Here is a 12285-nt window from a genome sequence, read left to right on the forward strand (position 1 = left end):
GCACAATTAGGACACAGAGAGAAAGCAAGATACTGAAAGACCATTTTTTCTTTTCTGCAGGTTTTCAAGGATAGTGTTTAAAATCTGAGAGGATTTATCCATGGATAAAGAGCTATAGGCTAAAAGACTCTGCAAGTTCCCAGCTATTTTTGTATGTTGGACATGTTATCCGTTGAAAAGCAATCAGAAATAAAAAGTATTTAAGCGTTGTGAGGTGCAGCCTAGTCAGTGATCAGTGATGTGGGGGTCGCCCATGGTGGCAGCTCAGGCTTGGCCCGGGAGGCCATACGAACATCCCTTCCCCAGGTGCCTGATGTGTAGACCTGCGCCCTGGGCTGGACAGGAAGTGGCTTCTTCAGCACCAGTGCACAGGAAGAAAACCAGATATCACCATTTGGGGGCAAGTCCTTCATTGCCCCGAAAGCACAGAGTTTTGTGCACTGAAACAGTAAATCATCTGAGACTTATTAAAGGGATACTGAAAAGGGGTCTCTGTGCATATACCTGAAGCTTTCCCAAACTTCAGGGTCCTAGCAGTGAGGGAGGAAACTTCTGGGGCCCCCCAAGGCTCCTGCAGGCCCTTGGAGTCACTGCTATCTGAACCCTGCCCACATGTCAGTGAATGCTTTTGTTTCTCTTTGGTTTTTGTGTAGATTCCTAAGAGGAGTCCCGGGCAAGGACCCAGGCCTCACCTGGCCCATGTCGGTGTGCTGTTGCTAGACTTGAATCTGAACCCTGCTTCCTCAGCCCCCAACACGTGCTCTTTGAGCAGCCGTGGGTAGTTTGGGCCCTGTGCCCTGTCTTCCTAAGGTGGCTTTCCTAGGGTAGCCCCCCACTGAGTAGCTCCTAGCCCCCGCCTGCCCTCGGGTATTGCTGTCATCTTGCCAGGGTGTAGGATCCAGAGCTGCTTCTTGAGTCAGAAGCACGAACAAGAAGGTTCTATGTCACCTGCAGATCTTTCTAGTAAGCCGCAATCTGTCCAGAGCCACCAGCAGCTGAAGTCCCAGACTTAGTCACCTCCCAGCCCCCCATCTCTCGCCCCAGGGACCTGGCAGGCTGCACTGGGAGGTGAAAGGGCAGATCCAAGGAAGGAGCCGACAAGGGGAGAAATAAGGCCATGCACACTTGCTGTCTTCAGTTTGTGTGCGAGGTCACAGGGCCGATTGATTTTTTTTTACTGTTTCCCAGCATCGTGATGGGTGGTGAGAAAATATGAACACTGCATCGTCAGAAACCTGAGCCACAGCCTCGGAATGAATTTGCTAATGAAAGGCAAGCTCAGGGCACCCACGCCTCATGGTCCTCATTCACGGCAGAGACTGTGGAAAATGCACGGGTTGCTTCTCCCGAATCAGCCCTCAGCGGGTTTTATATTATGCTTTGCAATCTGCAACAACCATAAATAAGTGTAGGTTTTTCTTAGGGCAGGCAGCTCTCCTGTCCAAATCTTAGAGCTTTTTCCTAAAAGAGGTCTATTGAAAACTGGACTTCTTTGACACACCTCTAACTGAGATTTAAATGTCTTAGTCTCATACCTCAGACTCAAAAGCCCCCCACCTCCAGAGTTTGGTCAAGGAGGCCCCAAGGTATGACAGACACCCTGGGGTTAAAAACAGAGGCTGGAGACCGGGAGCAGTGGCTCATACCTGTAATCCCAGGACTTTGGGAGGCCGAGGGAAGAGGATCACTTTAGGTCAGGAGTTCGAGGCCAGCCTGCCCAACTTGGTGACCCATCTCTACTAAAAATACAAAAATTAGCTGGGCATGGTGGTGCATGCCTGTAGTCCCAGCTACTTGGGAGACTGAGGCAGGAGAATTGCTTGAACCTGGGAGGCGGAGGTTACAGGGAGCCAAGATCATGCCACTGCACTCTAGCCTGGGTGACAGAGCGAGACTCCAGCTCAGGGAAAAAAAAAAAACAGAGGCTGGAGACCCCTCTGGTTGCATACAAACGGCTCACAAGATAGATGGCCTGGCTTCGCTGGCTTGGGGTTTCCCACTTCTTAATTTTCAAAAGGAGTATGAATGAAGCTGTCAACATTTTCAAAATCAGGAGGTGTTATGTCAAAATCCAGATATCCAGCTTCTCTTGACAAACTGGAGACTGCGGCCATACTGAGGTCCATGTTCTCCTGCAGCAGCAGTTAGAAGAAGCTGGAATCTGTGCTTTCTGATTTGCCCCAGTCTCTACCAGGCCCTGCCATCTCCCTGGCACAAAAGCTGAATGTCCCATGGACTGCATGTATTAGCATGCCTGCACTGTTGTTTTAATAGAAGAGAATGGTTTCTCAGTGTGCGTGTGTCTATTAAATAAAGGGAAACAGATGACAGATAGAGAGGACCACCAGTGTTTTATCTCCAGCCCCTCCTCATTACATTACCGGGCTGGCCAGCCTTGCCCTGTCTGATTTTCAAAAGTAGGATCCACAGAAGTGTCTAGAAAGGGGAGGGGAAGGCCCTCCTTGGTAAGGCACCATGCCAGCCCGAGCAGTTCCATTTTCATCTCATGTATAAATTGGAGTTTCACCATTTAGAAAAAATGTTTGAAAAGGGCTGTCATAGGGCGTTATCTTTGAGGAATGAGGTTCCATCTGCAGTCAGGCAGTTGTGTCTCCCATTAAGCTGCTTTCAAAGACATGCCCCAGGAGGGTTTCATGGGACAGAAACCTTGTGGGTGAATTGGTGTGTCGTGTAGATCGCCTGTTTTTTTCCCTGTGGTCTTAGCTCCTAGGAAGCTCAGAGTTAAATGGTGACATTAGCTTCCCATAGCTTGAAGTCTTTCTGATATAACTTTTCACCTTTTATTGTCGGGTTCTTATTTACTTTTTGTTTTAGTAGCTTTCAGTATTTAGTATCTATGGCATTTAGGCTTGGGTTTTAAAATATAACATAAGCCATCTCAAACCCTTCCTGGAAACAGGTAGTATGTAAGGGCATCTGTAGGGAATGAGGCTGCAGGGCGAGGTTAGTGCTTTTGAGTTGAGTGGAGAATCCCCAAATTGAATTCAGAGCCAACTGGGTTCCTTCCCTTTCAGCTCCCTAAAAGGTTCCTGTGGAATCCCCTATAATCTCAGGTAGTTTTCACATCTTCCAAGGGTAGATTTTTTTTTAAGCCTGAAATAGTTGCACTTTAGTCACATGGCCAGTATCCTCAGAGTAATTACCAAGTGCAAAGCGGCACCAACTCCAGGCAGGCCACAGAGGTCGGGGGGCGTCCCTGCTCATTTGGAGATTCAGAAAACTTTTGGTGCAAGCCCACTAGTTTTTGTGCCTACACACATCCAAGCCCTTCCCACCCTTTAGTCTCTCTCGGGCCTCGCTCTTTCTGGGTCTTAACAATTGTGTGTAATCTCTGTGACCAGGTGTGAACCCAGACAAAAACTCGGTCCCATCTCTGGTTTCTACCCAAAAAGTCCACTTGCACCACATGGGAAAGAGTTGACCAAGTGTTTCATAAGCCCTAGGTGGCGGGTCACCTCCCCACCTCACTTGCCCCTTTCCCTCTTTCCCTTCAGCCCACCACACCTAGATTCCACCCAGCAGGTACAGGGCAGCTTTTTCTGCACCAAAAACTCTGGGAGCCAGCCCGTCCCTTGTCCCTAGGGGACTTAACTCACATCCCCGCATTAACAAAGTTTTTTCCCTAACTGTATCAGTTAAGATTAAGTTCAACTACATAGTAAAGATAAACTCAAAGGGGAAGTTAATTTCCCTCTCGGGTAAAAGAAGCCTTGTAGTCAAGAGATACACAAAGACGTCAGGGACCCAAACTCCTTCCTTTTCAGTGCTCTGCTGTCCCTAATGTGTGATTCATCCTCATAGCTCAGGGCAGCTGCTGGAGTTCCAGCCATTGCATCCATTTTCCAGGAAGCAGAATGGAGGAGGATATACCCCCTTTCCTTTTAAAGAGCTTTCCAGGAAATCCCACATGCCACATTCATTTCTATCTCACTGGTCACAACTTAGTCACTTGGCCACGACTAGCTTCTGGGTTCTGTAACTGCAACCGAAAGGGAGAATGGTTATTGAGAGACAGCTTACAATATCAAGAACACTGTCCAAAACCCTCTTCTTTTTGCTTTTTTGTTTTAAGCCTTCCCAATAAAGTGAACAAAACCCTCTTAACCTAGAGGATTCCAGGTGCTAGCTATTAATGTAATGATAATCATCACACTAAATACCTAAACATCTTTGCAGTCAAATTTCTTATGCCCTGCTTAGGTAGGCCGACTCCTACACAGCCATCAAGGCCCCAAGGTTGGACAGAGCTGCTGCAGAAGCACAGGGGAGAGAATAGTTAACCCTACCTTATGCAAAGACTCCTCCCAGGCTAATGCTGAGCTGCGTGAGCCATGAAGAATGGGGCAGGGGTTTGTAAAGACAGAAAAGAAGCAAAACAGAACTCCAGACCGAGGGAACGGCCTAGCAAAGGTTGAGAGCAAGTGGTTCTTGGTAGGAGGTCTGAGGACTGACCTAGGCTGCTGGAGGCAGATCGCCATATTTCCACATCCCCACTCCTATGCACACCCAGTGATTCTGGGGTTGTAGGAGGGCCTTGACTCGAAAGATATCTGGGGGTTCCAGCTTCCCTGAGTCCTATGGATTTGACCAACAATCTAGGCATAAAGAGCAGAGATTATCAACTCAAACGCCCACACGGCCAGGCAAGTTGCAAGAGCAGGGACCCAGCTCTGCTCATCTCTCTCCCGTTGCTGTCCTGCAGGAATGGGGCCCCATAAAGCCAGATCTTTTCATTTTTTAAGAAAGCAGAAATCCAGGTCTGTGTGTAAAAGCTCCCAACGTGTCCATGGTGGTACCTCCAACAAACACACATATAACATAAATAAGCAAAGCGAAACTCGTGTGCAAGCCCCTAGGCGGCTGCTGGCCGGCTCTGAATCTTGAATCACATGGTTAAGTGATTATTGGTGGGGAAAGCTTAAAGACCTGTAGAAGAGGAGGAGGGGGGCATGTCCAAGGTCTCGAAGTCAGTTTGGGCAGAGCTTGGACTCAAACCTGGGGTTCTGACTCCAAGCCCAGCTTTCCTTCTGTCAGTGGGCCTAAAAATAGAAGACTGACCTTTTCTTGGTATTTTTGTGCTTCACAAATGCCAGAGCGTTATTCATTAGTTCATCTTCCCAAAATAACTGGCAGAACACGGCCAGAGGGCAACAGGAAGACTCTGGGCTGCGCCCCCCGACCGTGAAACTGGGGGCTCCTGGGAAGTGGGGGATGTGTCTCACCATGGGCATAGTTTCCCCCCACTGTTGGAGTGGCCTGCCTGGCCCTGCTCTTGGTGAGTCCAGGGGAGAGAGCTTCAGAGGGCAGAACAGATCTCAGGAGGATGTTAGGATCGGGAGCTTGAGTCTATCCAGTTCCCAGGCAGTTTGTGTTCCCTCCATCATCCTCCCTTTTTTTTCTCTTTTTGGTTTAAAATAAGGTTTACAATAGGAGTCTTGGAAAATTCAGACAAGCACAAAAAATAACAAAACTCACTGCAGTACAACTACCTGCTTCTCTCACTGTGTCAGCTTCAAATCTCCAGCTGCCTTCTCTGCTCTGGACAAGGGGGAAAGAGAGCACAAATTTTTTGCAAGAGCGGAAACATATGGGACATGCTTTTTCTAACCTTTTTTCATTGACTCCATCTTGAGCATTTCCCCCAACACTTAGTCTTCTCTTACCAGCGTGTTGGTTGGCAGCAGGGAATTTCATCATCTAGAGGGATTAGAATTCACTTAGCCTTTCCCCAGTTCTTGGACTTATCAGCTGTCTTCTGTTCTCTGTTCTGCACACCAATATGCTGAATATCCTTGTAGTTCGGTATGTGCATCCACCCACAGTGTCGTCTGCAGCATGGGATGCTGCAGGTGTGGAATTGGTCAGATGGTGTGAAAGTCCATGCAGCCTCTGATACACATTTTGCAGGCTGTCCTTGAAGCATACCCAGGGAGAGCCAAGACTGTTATCACTGGAGAGGATCTCAGGGAGGCCGGTTTGCCTTCACTCCTGTCGCACGATCTCTGGCTTGTCTGTGTGTTTGCACCTACTTCGCAGCCCAAGTGTGTTTGATTCATACACCAAAAGCCTCTGGCACCTCTGCCAAAGCTAGTTCATCAGGGACTGCCTGACTGGGATGAAGCAGGAACCAGAGGACAGGGCGCTCTGGCCATAGACATTCACCCTGAATTCTCCCCAGCACCCTCCTGATTCTCTGATGTGTTGCCACTTTGATTTGGGGAAAAACCCCTTGAAATTGCAGGTGGGGGGCCTTGGCCATCCAGCAAAATAAAGGAAAAAAAAAGCCAAAAGTCACTGTGGCTTTCTGGTCTCAGTGCCACTGGCAAAGGGAGAGAGAGTGGAAAGGAGGGAAGTGGGAGTTTTAGTAGAAGTGGGTGAGGGAGAGATGTGTTCAGTAACCTCTGCTCAGCTAGACCCTGCAAATGGATGGGATCGGTAGTTGGTGATTTTTTTGTTTGTTTGTTTGTTTAACTCAGTACATGCAGATTTTACTGCCAATCTATGACTTGATCCCAACCCATTCCCAAAATAAAAGAATTTAAGCATCCTGACTGCAGTGCCAGCTTCTCATCTGCTACCCTACATGTCCCACTGCAGATGTCTTTTGATAATAAACCAGGTTTATGATGCTGTAATAAACCATGGCTTTAAAGAGGGCAAGAGAAAAGACGTGTCTTCTTCAAATGGGCCTGTGACCACCTTGGCAACGGCTATGTCATTGATCCCTTCCAGCCGGGGTCATTGTCGGGAGCATACAAGGTGTAATCCCAACTCTGTTACTACACTGGCTGGCCCTCTGTTCATGGCCCTGATAAATAGGCAGCTCGGGAAAAGCCATCTTGACATTTTGATTTGTTAAGGGGTAATTCATTTTCGAGGCAAGTAAACAGCTTGTAAACTGGGGGGTTTACCGCTCTAAGTGATTAAGAAGTGAGCAGCTATAAAACTGGTTCCATGAGGCTGCGGCTGAGTGTCCCCAAGGAATCTTCCTGCCCAGTGTTTGGATTTGCCGGATGTTTGCCATAGTTCATCTGAGCGGGCCCCCGACACACACACACACAATATATCACATTGTGCCTCTTCCTGAGAACTCCAGCTACATTCATCCTGCCTTTCTCTCCGCAAGCAGACCTCTGCGGTAGGTGCGGGCAGGAAATACCCTCCACGCAAGAGGAGCTGGTGCTCAGGATGACCGCCTCACTCGGAGACTCACCCTGCTTTCACTGGGCCCCATGCACTTGCCATTATAGTCAGCGCTTGTTAAGTCACCCCCAAAACCCAACTGGGGGTATAAATAGGGCCCTTGCCTTTTAAGGAGCTGATCTTTAGACGAAAACAGCTTCACATGAACCTGAGTGGAAATAGCCCCTCCTTGATGGCCCGGAGAAGAGTCCTGCTAAGCCCTAAGCTGAGCCGCAGGTCCCATCTGTAGGTGAAAGGAAGGAGGCTGAGGGACATCAGGGACTTGCCCAAGGTCCCTCAGCTGGGAAGTGAGCAGAGGAGGGTTAAATCCCAGGCTTCCCTGGTGCCATAACCTGGGTGTCATCCCCTGCACCAGATGGGCACACTGCTTCTGTCCAGAGCCAGGTAACCTGGCAAAAAAGCCTTTTAGGCTTTGCAGGCCATGTGGTCGCTATGGCAACTGCTCAACTCTGCCGCTGATCGAGAAAGCAGCCATAGTCTCTGTAAACAAAGGACCGTGGCTTGTTCCAGTAAAACTTTACTTACCAAGCAGGCAGCAGGTTGCAGGATGCCAACCCCTGCTAACACCCTGCAGCCTTCCTGAGTTTCAAGAAAGGTGAGGTCAGGGCCTAGAGGGCCTTCTGGAAGTAGTGTTAGTAGAGAGCTGGACCGTGTGAAGTTCAGGCAGGGCAGGTGGCATGAATGGGGTCCAGGGCTGGCTGTGGTGAATGCATTCGCTTGAGGAGTGGGAAGGCTGCAGGAGTGACCAAGAGGGTTGAGATCCCCTCTCTCAGCTGGAAGGAGGACTCGCCCCCCCATATCTCCACCGCAATTTGGGGCTGCTTCTGTGCCACGAAGCACCATCACCATGGGTCCTGCTTGGCTCCTAGGGGCTGAAGTCGTGGCCTGCAGAAAAGCACATGTCCACCAGAAGAGGGGCTCCTGGGCCGGATAAAAGGGGCTTTGATTTATCGTAAAGAACACGTATCGGCCAGGTGTGGTGACACACACCTGTAATCCCAGAACTTTGGGAGGCTGAAGCAGGAGGATCACTTGAGTCCAGGAGTTCAAGACCAGCCTGGGCAATACAGTGGGACCCCCATCTCTACCAAAAAAAAAAAAATTATTTGGGTATGGTGGCATATCCCTGTAGTCCCAGCTGCTCAAGAGGCTGAGGCAGGAAGATCACTTGAGCCTGGGAGCTCAAGGCTGCAGTGAGCTGAGATCACACCGCTGCACTCCAGGCTGGGCAACAGAGTGAAACCCTATCGCAAAAAAACATAAAGAACAAACATGTATACTGAGCTCTCACCATGTGCCACACCCTGTTCTGGGGTGTGATAATAGTTCTTTCATTTTATTCCCACAACAGTGGGAGTATGTAGTGATACTCCAGGTTGTGGCTGGGAAAGACTCAAGAGAAACACAATAGCTGTTCAAGTGTCTGGTGCTTCTGTGTGGGAAACAGGGGTGCACCCAGGTCTGAGTGTCTCCAAGATGAGGGGCTCGTTCATCCCCGCTGGGTCAGTTTACCGCAGAAACGTGTGGGCAGACTCCACCTCCAGGTCCCGGAGATGCTGAGGGCCATTTGAGACCATCATCACTAGCTCTTTGCCAGGGCTTTCGTTGTTCCTGAACCTGACTTCCCTAGAACCTCAAGGGCAGAGCAAATTCTCTGGAAGGAGCGTCCAGGGCACTGTCCTCCTGCCCGGGTGTGACTTCAGAGCGTGGGTCCCCCAGGTATGACTTCAGAGCATGGGTCCGGTGCCCTTCCTTGGACACCATCAGCAGAAGCCTGAGACTCTACCATGAGGGCATCTAGCATCCCTGGGTGAACTTGCCACGAGGCTGCACGTCCCTCTTCAAGGGCACAGCTGGCACGCTGCTGAGCCAGTATCAGGCACTCGGATTTACGACTCATGGCCCCACACTCAGCTCTGTGGCTGGTTGTACTCTGTTCCTTGAAATAAACCTGTAATAAACCTTTTCCTTGAAATAGCTTCAAAATGTGGCTGGGTCAGGGCCACGACCAGTGAGGTCAGCCTGTTCCAGGGAACAGAGCAGGACTTTCAAGGAACTGAGGTTGGGTTGTTCAGTGGAACCATGACATTGAGGCCCTCAGGCCTACTCTTTGCTTCCACTTGGTCACCTGGTACTTTGTCTTGCAGGCTTCGCCGTGGCCCAGTGCATAAACCAGCACAGCTCCCCGTCCCTGTCCTCACAGTCGCCACCCTCCGCCAGCGGGAGCCCCAGCGGCAGCGGGAGCACCAGCCACTGCGACTCTGGAGGCACCAGCTCGTCCTCCACCCCCTCCACAGCCCAGAGTCCAGCAGGTATTGGCCACGTGACTCAGTGATATGGGGACATTTGGAGAACCCCGTGATCCCTCACCATTACCAAAACCCCTGACCTCCAGGTCCTCCTTGTCACAGCACTTGAAGGATGATGCCGCTCAGGTGATCTGCACATGAAGCCTCTAGAGATTCCTCTAACTTGATGTTCCCTCCCAGGCTGGGTCAGCTCCCAGATGGGGAAGAATTGCTCCTTTTTCAGGCCGGTCCCCACCGAAGCTGTCACTGACTGCAGAGCTGATGGGCAGCAGGCGGGCTGCACCTAAACCCACCCTATCATCACCTCCACAGTCTTAGGTGTCACAAGGAGGGGTCTCCCAAGGGGATTGTTTGCAGTCTAGGAAAAGAATCGCGTTCCTGCTGATTTTTTTTTTCCTCTGTAACATACCAGTTTTGTCCTTAAATGTGGTGCGGTCCAGTTGTTCGAGTAGGCACGCACTTTGCCACTCTTTGGTAGGATGTGATGAAGTCGTATCTTGCCATCCTTCAACTTATTCCACTTCAGACATGGCACAGAGGGAACCCGGGAGTGAATGGGAGCCCCTGGAGTCAGCCTGGAATGGGACATGCACCAGCTCCTCGTTCTCGGCTGCCGTGAGCTATTCGCTGTGTGAGATGTGGGGAAGTACAGACACCAGGCCTCTGGCACAACATGGCCCCAAATTGTAGCCAGAGGAGCAGGGATGAGCATCCATGGCCTTGAGCCAGCAGGATGTTCTGTGCCCCAGCAGCATCCCCCCGCCATGGGTCGGGGGGTCACACCAACTGCCTGCACCTCTGACTGGAGATCCTTAGTATCCTTCACTGTTCCTGCAAGTTCCCCTCCAGAGCCCTCACTCATCATATTTCAGGGGCACGTGGCCCACCTCTCATTGAGTTCTGGATTGATTGATCATGGCAGGAGGACACGGGCTACTGCAGAGCCAGGGAGGTCGAGGGCCCTTGGTCACCATCCTCTCAGCACCAGGAGCCAAGATCTCCCTGGGCACCTACACCTCTCTCTTGGGCACTTCCAGCTTTTGCATTTCCAGTTCATGCCTGTGGCTCAGAGCACCCCAACCCACCTGTGTCTCTCCCATCCACACACAATGTTACCTGCACTTCATATTGACTTCACGAGGCCCAGGCAGGAAAGTCACCCCACAGCCACCTCACTGAGAGATCCTCTTCCACTCGGCACCTGCTCCAGGGCATGACCACCCCTTCTGAGCTATTTCTGAGCCCAATTTAAGGTTGGCTGCACATCCAAGCAGATGCCACCCCTGTTGCCAGGCTTGTAGCTGGGAAACTCCAGCAGAGCTTCTTTCAGAAACTAAGACGCACCCTCAGTAGCCCTCTTGATCCCGTTTCATGCTTGCTCAGGGGCGGGCATGCAGGGTTGTGTGTTCATGCACCCCAACGCACATATTTACCGTTGCACTGGGGATGAAAGCTTCCTTGCCCTTGTAGCTGTGGTCACCTTTCTGTCATTTTTAAGGACGTACAGCCAACAGCTAAGTGAACAAACAGCCATATACTTCTTTGCCTAAAGTTAACACCGGCAAAGACCCACAGTATCAAAAATGATCAAAAATGGGCTTCTGTATATGGATGTCTACCTGAATGTGACCCCTGAGGCTTCAACTCTGCACTTTCCCAGGGCCTGGTGTCTGCAGTGTGTGCTAGTTTCTTTTTTCTTGGCCTCCCTCAGCCCCTCTGTCCCTACCCCCACCATCCCCTGCATGGTACCAGCGTAATGTCTTCTCATCTCAGAAATCCAGTGGCTATTAACTTGGCTGTCAGGTGGCCAGGCAGTTCCAGTCAATAAGTGAGAGTCAGGACCTCCGAGGTGTCTGCTCCCATTTGGTGCGTCCCCAGCAGGCCTGCGGAGACAAGTGTGTAGGTCCCCATTCTTTATGCAGCATGACAGTAAAAGCCTGAGGCCCAGCCTGCCTGTCTGGCTCTGCAGACACTGAGACAACTCACCTGATGAAGGGCCATGCCCGGTGGGCAGCCTGGGCTTTACTCTTACAGATGCCTCAGGATGCAGCTATTGATCCCTGGCAGGAGAGCTCATCAGAGCCCACAAGCTCCTCCCTGTCTTGAGGCCAGACTTCTAGGCCAGCCTGCAATCTCCCTCCCAGTCCACCCAGACCAAAGCATATGGGCTTCCCATGTTCCTTGTAGGGATGGGCCTAACCAGATGGCTCCAACATCTGCCTGCTGTTCCAGCAAGCCGCAGAGGAGAGAAAGCCAAGGACAGGAGAAGGGAGACAGCTTTGTTGGGATAGGAGCCCTTCTGCCAGTTGCTTGATTTGACATTGGCTCAGAGTGCGACTCAGCATTCAGGCTTCTGATGAGGGAAGGTCACCCTGCGTGGCTCGCTCACCCAACTTTCCACCCACCAGGGACCTGGCCCTGATCCACCAGAGATGATATCCTTGGAGGGCCAGCCAGGCAGCGGGGTGGGCCAGGGCCTCTCCTCCAAGCTCATTCATCCTAACCGCCCACTGCCTTCAGCCTGGACAGCAGAAGACAGCTGCAGCCCCCTACAAGGGGCAGCATGTCCTCAAAGTGGTTTTTGAGGGTACAGTGCTAAGTCAGAGGCGATCCCGTCTCTGTGATTATGGAGCCTCCCAGAGTCCAGGAAGCTCCCTTTTGTAGAGAGCGGCTGCCAGACCCTCCGAAGTCAGAACTAGGAAACCCCAGTGGCTTCTTTGCCATTGATTTGTTTTTTGTTTTGTTTTGTTTT

The 12285-nt window shown here is 50.9% G+C and overlaps 1 protein-coding gene across 22 annotated transcripts in view; it reads left to right on the forward strand.

Moving 5' to 3' along the window:
* CLEC16A (C-type lectin domain containing 16A) overlaps positions 1 to 12285 on the forward strand; it is a 237623-nt gene that overhangs the window by 212453 nt on the left and 12885 nt on the right. For 13 of the 22 annotated variants that reach the window (NM_015226.3, XM_011522434.3, XM_005255211.3 and 10 more), the window contains one exon: positions 9372 to 9536. The exons of 4 other annotated variants lie outside the window; for them this stretch is intronic. In NM_015226.3, the coding sequence (NP_056041.1) occupies positions 9372 to 9536 (165 nt within the window). Of the gene's footprint in view, positions 1 to 60; positions 210 to 9371; positions 9537 to 12285 lie in introns of those variants that run through there. 5 more of the 22 variants (XM_005255215.5, XM_005255216.3, XM_024450218.2 and 2 more) reach the window with 1 other exon arrangement.

This window comes from Homo sapiens, chromosome 16 (genome assembly GCF_000001405.40).
Source record: "Homo sapiens chromosome 16, GRCh38.p14 Primary Assembly".
Taxonomy (NCBI): domain Eukaryota; kingdom Metazoa; phylum Chordata; class Mammalia; order Primates; family Hominidae; genus Homo; species Homo sapiens.